Source organism: Homo sapiens, chromosome 16 (assembly GCF_000001405.40).
Source record: "Homo sapiens chromosome 16, GRCh38.p14 Primary Assembly".
Lineage (NCBI taxonomy): Eukaryota > Metazoa > Chordata > Mammalia > Primates > Hominidae > Homo > Homo sapiens.
The window spans coordinates 13,228,002-13,243,220 of NC_000016.10; the positions used below are offsets into that span (position 1 = coordinate 13,228,002).

The window sequence follows — 15,219 nt, forward strand, 5'->3', positions numbered from 1 at the left end:
GCATTTACTACATTCCAGGAATTGTGCTGTGTAGCAGGTGTATCTCATGCAATTCATTGCTCACATTAAATCCAAGAGTGGTTAATATTATCCCCATTTCACACCTAAGGAAACAGGCATAAATGGTTAAGTGGTGTTCCCAAGGTCTCATAAACTCAGATCTGTCTCATTCCAGAGCCTGCAGACTTTCTTTTTCACTCCACTCTTGCCCCAAGTACCAAACACTTTCTGTGCTCAGGGAGTACCCAATACCAGATTCACCAAGCAACCAGCTCAGAGTTAGGTTAGGAGGATGGTGTGGATTCTCCATGTGGGACTCACTGTTTCCTCTTAATGGGATTTTCCCCCCATCTGCACGGATATGGACAGACTTGAATGCCTCTGTATCTACTTTTCTTTAGAACTTTCTGAGGGGACATCATGTATTGAAGCTGCTGGGATGCTTAACTCATAATTTATTTTGTCTGCTTCTCAGAAACAGGAACCATTGAATGCATCCCTTGCTCAGAGCAGACCTCAGACTGGTCTGATGTCTGGAAAGAGGAACATGGGAAAGAATGATGCTGGATCATTATAAGACATTTAATGAGGGCGAGTGAGATTTTTCAGTGAAAGATTACTGGGAGGAAAGTGAGAAAGATAGCTTCCACCCCTATTCTTGCCCTATATTCTCTATGTTCTCACTGTATTTTGCTCATATATTTTTTTTAATTTTTAAGTTCAGGAGTACAAGTGCAGGTTTGTTACATAGGTAAACTTGTGTCATGGGGGTTTGTCGTACAGATTATTTCATCCCCCAGGTATTAAACCTAGTACTTATTATTTTTCCTGATCCTCTCCCTCTTCCCTCTCTCATCATTCATCAAATATTTACTGAGGCCAGGTGTGGTGGCTCACACCTGTAATCCTAGCCCTTCGGGAGGCCAAGGTGGGTGGATCACTTCAGGTCAGGACTTTGAGGCCAGCCTGGCCAACATGGAAAAACGCTTCTCTACTGAAAATACCAAAATCAGCCAGGAGTGGTGTCACATACCTGGAATCCTAGCTACTTGGGAGGCTGAGACAGGAGAATCACTTCAGCCCAGGAGGCAAAGGCTGTAGTGAGCTAAGACTGTGCCACCGCACTCCAGCCTGGGTGACAGAGCGAGACACTGTCTCAAAAAAAATTTGACTGAGTCCTTAATATCTGCCAGGAACTAGGCTGGACATTGCTTATATAATGCTGGCCAAAAGTCATACCTCATCTTGGAACGCTAGTGAGTGAGACGGATGATAATGAATGAACTGCACAAACAAGTGTAAAATGACAGTCATGATAAATGCCACGGGAGGAGCTTATTATGGAGAGATCTGACTTTATCGGACTTTCTAGAAGGGAGAGGGACCTCAGGGGAGAGGCAGCTGGGCATAATAGGAGTGAAGTGATACTTCCCTTTAGTTCTCTAACAAAAAACACCCCTATGTGCTGGAACTGTGAAAACGACAGAGGCTATCCCTGTGGTTCTCAACCCTGGCTGCATATTAGAATCACCTGAGGGACTTAGAAAATATATGTCTGGGCCACAATCTCTGAAATTCTGATCAAATGGTTTTGGGAAGGGGTCCAGGTGTCTGAACACTTTTAAAGCTCCCCCATGTGATTTCCATGTACTGCCAGGACTGAGAACCACTGAGCCACCCAGATGGAAGGATATTTCTGCTCTCAAAGAACTCGTGGTCTAGTGGGGAAACAGATGTGAACACAGAAATTTATAAAACAGCGTAGTCAGTGTTATGATGGAGAGAGCAGGGGTGGCTGAGAAAGTCTGAGGGAATGAGGGAGGCAATATCTCAGCTAAGTCTTGCAAGATGAGTAACAGTAAACCTGGTGCTAATGAAGGGGATAGACTCTGCAGCTCAGACACCTGGTTCTTAGACCAGATAGGGGACCTCATTATAAGTACTGCTATGACTGGTTAGCTCCCCTTCATAGCACTTACCATAGTTATACATTTATGTAATTTGGGGGATTATTTGACCACCATCTCCCTCCTGATCAGATCAAGGCCCCTTTGTGTGCCCTTTCAGGGAGCAAACTAGGCCCTCAACAAACACGGTTGGTGGAAGAAGGAAAGAGAGGAGACAGAAAAGAAGGCAGGTTGGTTTGGATGAATGCCTGCCTCCCTGCTAGAATGTCCACCCCAGCAGGGCAGGAACCATGTCTGTTTCTGATTCTTCTTCATATTTCAAGTGTCCAGTACATGGTGGGTACCTGTTTGATGAATGACTAAATGAATGAACAAACAGCTCAAAGACTGCAACATGGAGAAAGGATTGGAGGAGGTGAAACAAGGCAAGGAGGCCAGTTTGGTTACTGAAGGAGAACAATGTTCAAAGGGGGTAGGAGAAAGGGAATAGGTTAAATAAATATTTATTAGGTATGGCTGGAAGGACTTGTTGGTTTGACAGTTGTGCTGCAAGAGAAGAGGATAATGGAGTCAACCATTGCTCCCAAGTTTCTGGCTTAAGTGGCTAAAGGGTGGGTGGTCCCATGTGAGAGATAAGGAAGAGGCTGAAGAACAGATCTGAGTAATGTTGCTGGGTTCAGGCATGGCCACCTTTGTTACGGGAAAGGAGTCCCGACCTAGACCCCAAGAGAGGTTTCTTGGATCTCATGCAAGAAAGAATTCAGGGCGAGTCCATAGAGTAAAGTGAAATTAAGTTTAATAAGAAGTAGAGGAATAAAAGAATGGTTACTCCATAGACAGAGCAGCCCTGAGGGCTGCTGGTTACTCATTTTTATGGTTATTTCTTGATGATATGCTAAAGAAGGGGTGGATTATTTATGCCTCGCCTTTTTCGACCATATAGGGTAACTTCCTGACATTGCCATGGCATTTGTAAACTGTCATGGCGCTGGTGGGAGTGTAGCAGTGAGGATGACCAGAGGTTACTCTCATGGCCATTTTGGTTTTGGTGGGTTTTGGTCAGCTTCTTTACTGCAACCTGTTTTTTCAGCAAAGCCTTTATGACTTGTGCCAGGCTTCTGTCTCATCCTGTGACTAAGAATGCCTTAACCATCTGGGAATGCAGCCCAGTAGGTGTCAACCTCATTTTACCCAGCTGCTATTCAAGATGGGGTTGCTCTGGTTCACATGCCTCTGACAGTTGTCCTGCAAGAGAAGAGGAGCATGAAGTCAACCATTGCTCCCAAGTTTCTGGCTTAAGTGGCTAAGGGATGGGTGGTTCCCATGTGAGAGATAAGAAAGAGGCTGAAGAACAGATCTGAGTAATGTTGCTGGGTTCAGGCATGGCCACCTTGGGCCAGAGATGCTGTTGAATCCAGGAGGTAATGACATATAAATTTTGATGTCGAAGGGGGAAACTTTGAGTATTCTTCTATTGAAGTTTCATGGCACTGGAAATCTAGAGCTTTCCTCCAAAAGGCAGGAAGATGGGTTCTAGTCCCAGCTCTAATATTAACTTGTGCTACCTTAAACAATTCATGACATTTCAGGAATGTGTGATCCTCACAGCCTTAGCAGATTCCAAGATTCCTTTTGGCTTTGACATTCCATACCTTCAGGTAGCCCTAGAATTTAAAGAGGAAGTTTCTCTTGAAAGGCTTTATCAGTCGGAGCTATTTGCATTACAAGGAATATAAACTCAACTTAAACTGTATCATACATAGCAAGTTAATATGTGGCTTCCTGGGTTGTTTCCTTGGGCAGTAGTCCGAGTGGAGGCCACGCTAGCCAGGAAAGAGTGCGGTGATCAATGAATGATGTCTAGCATAGACACAGCATCAGAAACAGGGACATATTTTTGTTTCAGTCCTGAAACCAAGGGTTTCCGTCTGTGGCCTTTCAAATAATGTTGATTGAATGTAGGTTCTACTCTGGCTCAGCCATTAGCTCTGGGTAACCTTAGTTTAATCATTTTATATGCCAGAGCTTGACAGTTTCCTTATTTGTCAAGCGGGAGAAATAGTCCCCATCTTTTCCACCTTCATTGTTGAAAGGATCTAATGAGAAAAGAAGCATAGAGCCCTGTAAGGAGGAGAATCAGATATTGAAGATATGAAGGAGAATCAGAAACAGACATGGTTCCTGCCCTGCTGGGGTGGACATTCTAGTAGGGAGGCAGGCATTCTTTAACCTTTATGTAAGTTCACATGTGTGACACTGTGAGATCCCAACGTGTGGATAAAAGAGCAAATACTTCTGGTCCCCTGAGAGATGAAAGTTCAAAAGTTTATTGCTAATGAATTAATTTTAAAAGTGTAGATAATCTTATAATAAAAGAATTCAGAAATTAAAATAAAATAAAAGGAGATTTCATAAAATTGTCAAATGAAAAACAAATAAGAAAAGAAAGTGTCAGCAAACCACCATGGCACATGTATACCTATGTAACCTGCACGTTCTGCACATGTATCCCAGAACTTAAAGTATAATAAAAAAATTAAAAGAAAAGAAAAGAAAGTGTTGATGAAAAAGGTCAAACTCTGTCAAATACTTGAAGAGATTTATTCTGAGCCAAATAGGAGTGACCATGGCCCATGACACAGCCCTCAGGAGTCCTGAGAACATGTGCCCAGGGTGGCTGGTCTGCAGCTTGGTTTTATACATTTTAGGGAGGTATGAGACATCAATCAAATACATTTGAGAAATACATAAGTTTGGTCCAGAAAAATGGGACAATTCGAAGGGGATGGTGAGTGGGGAGCTTCAAGGCTATAGGTAAATGTAAACATTTCCTGGTTGACAATTGGTTGAGTCTAAAGACCTGGGATCAATAGAAAGGGAATGTTCAGGTGAAGATAAAAGATTGTGGAGACCAAGGTTCTTTTGAAGTCTTATAGTGGCAGCCCTTAGAGACAATAGAAGACAAATGTTTCCTATTTAGACTTTTAAAAGGTGCTAGACTCTCAGTTAATCTCTTTACGATTGGGAGGGCCTGGAAGAAAAAATCTAGCTATGTTAATAGAGCTTATTTACACATGTAGGTTTTACCCCACAAAAAAACTTTTTTTTTGCAGGGCCATTTCAAAGAACGACAAAAAAACATGTTTTGGGGTAAAATATTTTGACTTTCTTCTTTGTCATGTAATGTTGTGTCAGAGTCAGATAGGAAAGTAAGTCACGATATATAGCGTTAAATAAAACCCATCTGATGAGAATTTATGGTTTGTAGGATATGACTCCCAGACCCCTTAGATAGAAATCTGGGCAAGATAAGAAAAAATCAGAGCTTAGTCCTCAAAAGAAAGAACGAGAAAGAGAAGTAAAAATGAAGGAAGAGAGGGAGGGAGGAAGAGAGAGAGGAAGAAGGAAGGAAGGAAGGAAGGAATCCTTCAATGCTGGAGAGAGTGTAGTTAAATTGAGTGGAAATTGGTAAAACTCTTTTGTAGAATAGTTGGCAATATGTATCAAGAGCCTTAACAATGTTTATACTCTTTGGCCAAATAATTCTACTTTTTATAATCCAAATCAAAGGTCAGCAAACTTTTTAAAGAAGGACTGGGTAGTAAATATCTCAGGCTCTTCAGGTCTCACGGTTTCTGTCAGCTGAGTTTCAACCAGCACTCAATTCTACCACAGCAGAACAAAAGCAGCTATGGATAATATATAAATGAATGGGCATGGTTTTGTGTCCAATAAAACCTTGTTTACAAAATCAGGATGTGGCCAGATTTGGCCCCGTGGGCTATAGTTTGCCAATCCCTGATGTAAATTAAGAAAACAGGCCTGGTGCGGTAGCTCACACCTGTAATCCCAAGCACTTTGGGAGGCCAAGGTGGGAGGATTGCTTGAGCCCCGGAGTTCAAGACCAGCCTGGGCAACATGGTGAAACCTCATTTCTACAAACAAAAAAATACAAAAATTAGCCTAGTGTGGTGATGCTTGCCTGTGGTCCCAGCTACTCAGGAGAATCATCTGAACCTAGGAGGTAGAGGCTGCAGTGAGCTATGATTGTGCCACTGCACTCCAGCCTGGGCAGCAGAGTAAGATCCTGTCTGAAAAAATAATAATAAATAAATAAATAAGAAAACATTTTTAGAATTATGCTAAATTCAAAATTCTAAATATAAAGAGAGGTTTAAGTGAAAAGTTGCTATTACATACAACTGTATTTGTAATAGCAAAATATTGGCACAATTAGAACACTCATTAATAGGGGAATTAATTAATTTTGATAGTTCCACTCAATGAAATACTAGGTACACATGAAAATCCTGTTTATTAATAATTTATAACAACATGAAGAAATGCTTGATAGAACATTACTTGAGAAATAGAAACAAACTTATTTATAATGACGATGATAATGGTGGTAGATAATATCTAAGCACTTTACACAGATCATATCATTTAACTCTCCAAACAGACCTATGAAGTATACTTTTTTATTGTAATGGCTTTCCTTATGGAGAAGCTGATGCTGACAAATGTTAAGTAATTTAGTCAAGGTTAAGCTGCTGGCAGGTGTCACAGTTGAAATGTGAATACAGGTCTGGTTTAACTGCTAAAAGCAAAAACAAAAGCAAACAAACCAGCGGAGAAAAATCCCAAATTAAACTCTGTTTATTAAAAATACCAGAAGAAAATACACCCAAAAGTTGTTATCGGCTGTCTTGATTGGTAGGTCATAGATAGGAAGATCACTTAACATGTTCACTCTTTTCTCTAATGAAAATGTATCATTTTAATAAAAAAGAAACAACACGCGAATTTCATAGGCAAACCAACGATGGCAGAATGGTAGGTGGGACTGTGGGGGGAGAAGTGTTTATTTCGGAGGTCTAGAGGTTCCCTTGGGGATGCCTTTAATCCTCTTGGTCCTGCTCTTTGTTTGTGAAAAGGGCATGGTGCTGCCCTTCCCTCTGTCTTGTTCTAGGTGGAGTTTCTAGTGTGTCTTGTTTGGACTGTTGGCCCATTTTTATGCTGTTCTTGGGTTGACATGCCAGTCTCTAACTCTCTCTCTCTCTCTCTCTCTCTCTCTCTTCTCTTTCTTCCCCTTCTTCATCCACCCGTTCCGATGTGTAGCTGACAAGGTCAATGACGACTTCTACACCAAGCGACGGCACCTGGCTGAGCTGGCTGCCAAGGGGAACTTACCTCTGCACCCCGTAAGAGTGGAGGACGAGCCCCGGGCCTTCAGCCCTGAGCACGGTCCTGCCAAGCAGAATGGACAGAAGTCCCGCACCAACAAGATGCCCCCACATCCCCTGGCCTACACCTCTACCACCAACTTTAAGGGCTGGGACCCCAACGAGCAGTCCCTCCGGCGGCAGGCTTACAGCAACAAGGGCAAGCTTGGCACGGCCGAGACAGGCTCCAGCGACCCCTTGGGAACTCGCCCCCAGCACTACCCACCCCCACAGCCATACTTCATCACCAACAGCAAAACAGAAGTGACTGTCTGAGCTTTCACCACAGGGAGCACCCTGGAGACCACACTCAACTGAGAGAGGCAAAAAACAACCCCGCCCACACCCTCCCCATCCTCCCCTAATACATGCGTCCACACACTCACTCTCAACAAGAACCAACTCTAAACCTACTGGGGACACAGAGTCGCGCTTTTCCTAGGTCATGCCTGTAACGTGTCGGCGGGCAGCTGAGAAAGACCGAAGCGTGGACATTCAGCAATACAGCAAAGGGGAAAATGAGGCACACTCTTTCCACTTCAGGCCCAAGATGGCCAACTCACATGCCCAAACCGTGGGGCTGAGTTTTCTTTTCCTCCTAACTTGAAACTGAAATCCATGGTGACAAAATATAAAAGTAGCACAATTTAGAGAAATTGTCCATTTGAGCACATACACTACTTGCCACGTGCTGTCTGTTTCTAGGTTCGAAAGCCAGGGTGGAAATGGGGGTAGAGAATGAGGGAGGACACAAGAGAAGAGTGTATTCTGGAAGAGGAGTTGTTCTGGGAGGAATTTGCCCACATTAGAAGCATTTTTCTAATTCCAAGAAGTGGTGACGTGGACGTAAAATTTTGACGAGCATGAAACAGTAACTGGACCCCAACCATTCTATTTATAGTACTTTTCATATCATCCATGTTGAAAGCAAAAAACAACACACCCTCAAACTCACAGAAAGTAAATAGACCCTGAACCCACCGACAATGATGGGAAGGAAAAAACAAAAAACAAAAAACATTTTAGAGAACTCCCATAAGGACCATGACCGTGGAAATGGGAGGGATGGGCTTTTACGGAGAGGGTCCGGAGAGTATCAAATAACTTTTTAAAAAGAGGATTAAAATGTAAGCCCACTACAAAACAGATAAAAACGGCAAATTAGGTGTTTTTTTTTTTTCAAAAATCTTGAAGACTTGTTGACATTAACAACAACAAATCCACAGTTGGAAAAGTCCACAGGAGATCAGATGAGGATCCAGAAGCCTCTGATTTCTGGGTTTTGCCTCCAAGACCTGAAACAGCCACAGAAACAAGTCCTCTATAAACTGTATGTCCCTGACATCCCTTTCCCTTCAGCGCGTTGCCGCCGCCGCTGCCAAACTTCAACTGCTTTGGACTGAAAATGTCATAAGCGTGGGTGGTGCCTTCAATGTGTTACTGTTGTTTAATGACAGTCTTGTTTCCCAAGTGCAACCTGTGTTCTTTTAGCCTTCCTTCCTCTTCTTTTTCTGCAGTAGTAGAAGATGTTTCCATCCTTCCTTTGTAGGTGAGCCCACCCCATAACACCCTCTGAGGGGCTGCTACAATGTCAGGGGTACCCAAGAACGAAGACCTCCCTACTCTCTACACTATCAAAATTAGTCCTTCCATTTTCTAGCCCTCTCAAACCTGTCAGATGTTTCTTGGTCCCGTAATTCCCATGGTCCCTCCAAATTACCTCCCCACATACTTCATGTGTTCATCTCCCATCCAGAATGTCCTGAGGTTGTTTTTCTGGTTGGTTCTCATAATCCATAGTCCTTGGGGTCCCAGCAAAGTCAGTTTTCCTACAAGTTGTGTTTGTTTTGTGGAAGCCCAAAGAAGTGGATTGAGAGAGAAGAGATTTTTATCTAAGGTGGAAGGTTTTTCAACTAGCCCCTAAAGGTCTTTGGTAGTTAATTAACATTCAACAGACCCACAGCAACTCTGGTGTCAGAAGCTATAAATGGTCTGGCCAAACAAGACTCAGAGTATTTTCTGAAATCCTGAGCTGCAAGGTTCTGCCTCACCTGTCTCTCCACTCTGACATCACGAAATCAGCAAAACCAGATATTTATTCTCCTCACTCCCAGCAGATACGAGGACACCAACAATGCAGTTGATCCCTCTGGGCCTGAGTCTCCCATCTGAAACATGGGGAATTGGGGTAGGTCAAGCTTTTTGAAACTGCAAAACCTCTACCTGTTTTTAAAAATGAGATCTTTTGACCAGGCACAGTGGCTCACACCTAAAATCCCAGCACTTTGGGAGGCTGAAGCAGGTGGATCATCTGAGGTCAGGAGTTTGAGATCAGCCTGGTCAACATGGTGAAACCCCGTCTCTACTAAAAATACAAACATTAGCTGGGCATGGTGGTGGGTGCCTGTAATCCCAACTACTCGAGAGGCTGAGGCAGGAGAATCGCTTAAACTTGGGAGGTTGCAGTGAGCTGAGACCACACCACTGCCCTCTAGCCTGGGTGACGGAGTGAGACTATCTCAAAAAAAAAAAAAAAAAGAAAAAAAAAGAGATCTTTCAAAGAACGCATAATAGGAGATCTCCATGTATAAAAAGGTACCATGCTGTACAAAGCTGGGGTCAGAGATTTAGTGCCCACCTTCTCAGCCTCCTTGGGAAGACCCCAGAGCTTCCCAGAGTCAAGTAAATACCACTGGGCATGGTCAGAGTTTCCTTGACGTTAATGAGCTATGTACCTGCAACACACTTTGGCATCTCTGTATATCACCTTCACAATATTTGTATCTAAATTGATTCATTTTAATGCATTTTGTTTTTAAAATGAAAACTTCCTGTCTTCATCACAAATTTAAAAAAAATCATCAGTTGCCATAAATAGAAAGCAAACATAAAAATAAGTACAAAGGAAACAAGCAGCGATGATTAAATTCCAGCTGGAGTCTGTTGTCTGTGAGTCTGAACTAAAGCCTGGGGTTCTTTCTTTCTCTCTCCATCTCTCTGTTTCTGTTTCTCTCTCTCTCTTAAAATGATATCATCAGGTATTAAATAATTGTTAAAAATACCAGCACCCAATGAAGACTTTCTCTTTGTACTAATAAGATGGACCAAAAAGTAAATGAAAGGGGAATCATTTCCTATGCAAGTCAGTGTTGAACAATGCTGTAGCTATGTACTGCCTATGATCATTGTGCATACACTAGGGGTGCATAGCCCACACTTCAGAAAACCCTGGGTTGACTTATCTGTGAGGCTCTTTCCAGCTCAAAGTTTCCATAATTCTTATCTCCCTTTTACCTCGTGGTTGCTCTTTGCCCCCAGTCCACTTCGTCCCACCCTTATCTCAACTCTGATTAAGAGTCTTTCTTGGCCTCTAAATCTGTAGTATTGTATTCCTTCTGCATGCTCCTTCTCCTCTGAATAAACTTCATCAATTGAACTGGGCTCCTTGGGGTCTGCAGTTGTAATTTTGGCAGCAAAGGTGCAGACTGGTCATTAAGATGTAGCCACAATGATGGCCCAAGAAGGACACGTACTTTCCAAGTAGTCCTGTCTAGGATGGAAAGCTCAGGAAGTGCTTCATAGTTTATTATCTTCCAGTTGGTTTTGGGAGATGAACTGAAGAGGGAAGTTTGGATAGGGAAGGTCTTTTTATTCTTTTTTTTTTAATGTATCCATGGAGTATTTATTATTATTATTATTATTATTATTATTATTATTATACTTTAAGTTTTAGGGTACATGTGCACAATGTGCAGGTTAGTTACATATGTATACACGTGTCATGCTGGTGTGCTGCACCCATTAACTCGTCATTTAGCATTAGCTATATCTCCTAATGCTATCCCTCCCCCCTCCCCCCACCCCACAACAGTCCCCAGAGTGTGATGTTCCCCTTCTTGTGTCCATGTGTTCTCATTGTTCAATTCCCATCTATGAGTGAGAACATGCAGTGTTTGGTTTTTTTGTCCTTGCGATAGTTTACTGAGAATGATGATTTCCAATTTCATCCATGTCCCTACAAAGGACATGAACTCATCATTTTTTATGGCTGCATAGTATTCCATGGTGTATATGTGCCACATTTTCTTAATCCAGTCTATCCTTGTTGGACTTTTGGGTTGGTTCCAAGTCTTTGCTATTGTGAATAGTGCCGCAATAAACATACGTGTGCATGTGTCTTTATAGCAGCATGATTTATAGTCCTTTGGGTATATACCCAGTAATGGGATGGCTGGGTCAAATGGTATTTCTAGTTCTAGATCCCTGAGGAATCGCCACACTGACTTCCACAATGGTTGAACTAGTTTACAGTCCCACCAGCAGTGTAAAAGTGTTCCTATTTCTCCACATCCTCTCCAGCACCTGTTGTTTCCTGACTTTTTAATGATTGCCATTCTAACTGGCGTGAGATGGTATCTCATTGTGGTTTTGATTTGCATTTCTCTGATGGCCAGTGATGATGAGCATTTTTTCATGTGTCTTTTGACTGCATAAATGTCTTTTGAGAAGTGTCTGTTCATATCCTTCGCCCACTTTTTGATGGGGTTGTTTGTTTTTTTCTTGTAAATTTGTTTGAGTTCATTGTAGATTCTGGATATTAGCCCTTTGTCAGATGAGTAGGTTGCGAAAATTTTCTCCCATTTTGTAGGTTGCCTGTTCACTCTGATGGTAGTTTCTTTTGCTGTGCAGAAGCTCTTTAGTTTAATTAGATCCCATTTGTCAATTTTGGCTTCCTCTTGGGAGGGTAGACAGACCTCACAATATGGAAAGACGGGACAACCTATGGAACTATCTGTGACTTCCATGTACCAAGACAAGGACGCTATAGCTAGGGTAGTGAGACCTAGAAGAGAGAAACCAGAACAAAGCAGACAGGCTGTCCTCTTCCTAATTCCATGCCCTGACATCAGCCCCTATTTTTTGCCTTTAGCTGTCCCCCAGTTTCCAACCCAATGGGACCAGAGTCTGACTTCCCTTTGCCCTTTCACAGTGTCTCAGCCTCCATCTGCCTTGGGCTCCGCCTGGCCTCCCCATCTAACTCTTCCCAGTTTTTTGTGTAAATGGAGCATATTTTATGTGCGAATATTTTAGTAACCGTATGTTCTGCAAGTAAACCTGTGTTAATACTTGTCAACAACTGCAGAGTTTATGATACGAATAATTCTTCCTACAATGAAGAAAAAAACACATTTGTTTGTTTTCTAAGAATGTTTATTTGTAAACATATGTATTCACTATATTAATATGAATTTCTTACCTGGCAATAAAACTGATTATATGTGAGGCTGTTGGGATTGTCATGTATCTTTCTAGAACCCTGCATCCTAATTTGTGTTTTCACCAGGGAACACCAATATTAGCATAGAGAATGAGGTCTATAATACTCAGAATATATGGGAAGTTGTTTCCGGCAAAGGCAATTTCTAGTTAACAGCAACATATACACATTTTCCAGGAGACTTTGTGTTTGAAGCGTTTTTGGTAAGTTTGTGTCACATCTCCTAGTTCACATCCTTTTGCCTTTAGAAATCTATTGTTGCTAGGTTTCCTCATCATAACTAAATTTATTCTTAATGGTCAAGAATCTTGCTGCGATTTGAACTTTAGTTTTGAACGCTGATCAGGGTCATAGAAGACACAAATATTGAAAGGATGGAAGATTCGATTCTTCCCCTATTTATTAAATTTTATTTCCTGTCTGGCCTCTGGTAGCATAGAGTTTGAAATTTTCAGGTAGAAACCTGTCTGACTATGGTTCCTCCAGAAAGAGGCTCGGAGATTAGGATGTGAGAAATGAAGAGAATACTGGGAGGGGGTGGGAGGTTCAATAAGGAAGGCAAAGCAGCTAAGAAGAGTATGATATCATGTCAGCTACCACTATGCACGGCTGGAGTTTCATGCTGCAGGGAAACTTTGGGAGACAGTGTTGAACACACACACAGAATCATCCTGCCCAAGTAACGTGAGCTTGGGTGTTTACGTGCCCATGGCCATCAGACATTGTTTCCAAATTGCTTTCAGGGATGCTAATGTTCAGACACTCCTAGGCTGTCATGTGCAAAGGCAGAAGGACTTTCATGGTGTCAAGAATCCCTAGGCAGCCGGGCACGGTGGCTCATGTCTGTAATTCCAGCACTTTGGGAGGCCAAGGCGGGCAGATCACCTAAGGTCAGGACCAGCCTGGCCAACGTGGATTAACCCCATCTTTATTAAAAATACAAAATTAGCTGGGTGTGGTGGCGCATGCCTGTAATCCCAGCTACTCAGGAGGCTGAGGCAGGAGAATCGCTTTAACTTGGGAGGCGGAGGTTGCGGTGAGCCGAGATCACACCATTGCATTCCAGCCTGGGCAACAAGAGCCAAACTCCATCTCAAAAAAAGAGAAAAAGAAAAATCCCTAGGCACAGAGATGCACCTACTGGTGATTATAAGCCAGTCACTGTACACCAAAGTCCCAAAGACCCTAAGGATGTGGGCAGGAACTCACAGTGGCTGCCCAAAGCCAGAGATCTGGGGTCCCTGGGGAATGAAACTTCCACTCTCTGGATGCTTAGAGACATTGTCAATGTCAAGCAAAGGGGAGATTTGCAGTCAGGGTCAGGATCTTTACTCTGGGATTTGGAGACCTTTCATTGGCCACAGGGTCACTTAGCATCACCCAGAGCAGATCCCCTGGGCTGTCTTTGGGGCACAGTTCTGGTTATCAGAGAAGTCTGGAACACACAGGATGCTCTTTCAGCACTTGGAAACTTGGTGGCTGGAGTCACTCACATCAGAGCCCCAAGAATGTAGTCATAGAACAGAGAATTACACCTCTGTGAGGAGAGCCACACTATTCCTCTAGTGAGCCACCTGGTGGATTATAACTCATAAACAACAACAACAATAATCATAGCAAGCTTATTTGCAGAGCCACACACTGTTAAAGACCTTCTATGCATTGCCACATTTGGTTCTCACTGCAAAAGGTGGGTACTATTATGCTTTGGAGATGCTGTTCAGAGATTTGTCTAAAATTTGAGTAATGCTCCTAAAGCAATTCAACTAGTAAGTGGTAGAACTGGGATTTGAACTCCAGAGCTCATGCTTTAATGGCTCTGTCAATAGTTCTCACCTGGATTCGCATGTGAATCAGTGGGGCAGCTTGATAAAAATGCTGATTCCCAAGCTCCCTCAAAGAGCTTCAGATAAGGTAGATCCGAGGAGATGGGGCCCAGGGTCCAATGTTTGTAACAAGCTCCCTGTCATTGCACTAGAGTGGCCCCTGGACCCTATGATGAGAAGCCTTGCACAGTGCCACATTACATCATCATCCAACATCTGTGGGATCATCCCAAGGACTATGAGATGCAGAAGAAATTGGAGTGGACCTGTGTGCTTCTAGAGACAGGAACTCTCATCATCCGGCTTCATGTCTGATATTGAAAAGTTGTGTCCTATAATGAAGAGAAGACTGACTCCAGGAGACTTGGCTGGTGGTATTTATTGATTCCAATGCCAATTTGCCACGTGCCTTGAAACTATCCTTTCCTGCAACTCCATGTCTTCATTTTCCTTCAGAAGGAGGAGGTTGCAGTTGATAATCTTCAACCCTGCTCTCTGACTGGACTGAGTATTCTTCTTCCTGATCACCACGAAATGGGTATAATCAATGGAATTGAGTCTCTTACCACTTTCAAAGGTTTGCTCCTGGATGACTGGGATTTTAGTGTGTATATTAATAACATTATAGTAACAAATTCTGAGGATTGAGCACTTGCCAGGTACTCGGTGTAGACCCAGAAAATCTGAGACAAGTCTGTTAATTTAGAAATATTATTTTGCCGGCCAGGCACGGTGGCTCATGCCTGTAATCCCAGCACTTTGGGAGGCCGAGAAGGGCAGATCACGAGGTCAGGAGTTCGAGACCAGCCTGGCCAACATGGTGAAACCCCATCTCTACTGAAAATACAAAAATTAGCCTGGTGTGGTGGCATGCTCCTGTAGTCCCAGCTACTCAGCAGGCTGAGGCAGGGAGAATGGTGTGAACCTGGGAGGCAGAGTTTGCAGTGAGCCGAGATCGCGCCACTGCACTCCAACCCTGGGTG

At 43.0% G+C, this 15,219-nt stretch overlaps 1 protein-coding gene across 6 annotated transcripts in view, besides 2 other annotated features; it reads left to right on the forward strand.

Moving 5' to 3' along the window:
• Positions 1-15,219, forward strand: part of SHISA9 (shisa family member 9) — a 661,420-nt gene that overhangs the window by 326,404 nt on the left and 319,797 nt on the right. For 2 of the 6 annotated variants that reach the window (NM_001145204.3, XM_005255539.4), the window contains one exon: positions 7,029-12,415. The exons of the other annotated variants lie outside the window; for them this stretch is intronic. In NM_001145204.3, the coding sequence (NP_001138676.2) occupies positions 7,029-7,408 (380 nt within the window). In that variant the 3' untranslated portion in view covers positions 7,409-12,415. Of the gene's footprint in view, positions 1-7,028; positions 12,416-15,219 lie in introns of those variants that run through there. 6 annotated transcript variants of the gene reach the window in all.
• Positions 2,535-3,270: an enhancer, noted in NCBI's record as "NANOG-H3K27ac-H3K4me1 hESC enhancer chr16:13324393-13325128 (GRCh37/hg19 assembly coordinates)". NCBI's record gives its function as "activates a minimal SCP1, AML or CMV promoter by ChIP-STARR-seq in primed H9 embryonic stem cells {active_cell/tissue: H9 hESC(primed)}" and the evidence as "EXISTENCE:reporter gene assay evidence [ECO:0000049][PMID:30033119]".
• Positions 3,271-4,005: an enhancer, noted in NCBI's record as "OCT4-NANOG-H3K27ac-H3K4me1 hESC enhancer chr16:13325129-13325863 (GRCh37/hg19 assembly coordinates)". NCBI's record gives its function as "activates a minimal SCP1, AML or CMV promoter by ChIP-STARR-seq in primed H9 embryonic stem cells {active_cell/tissue: H9 hESC(primed)}" and the evidence as "EXISTENCE:reporter gene assay evidence [ECO:0000049][PMID:30033119]".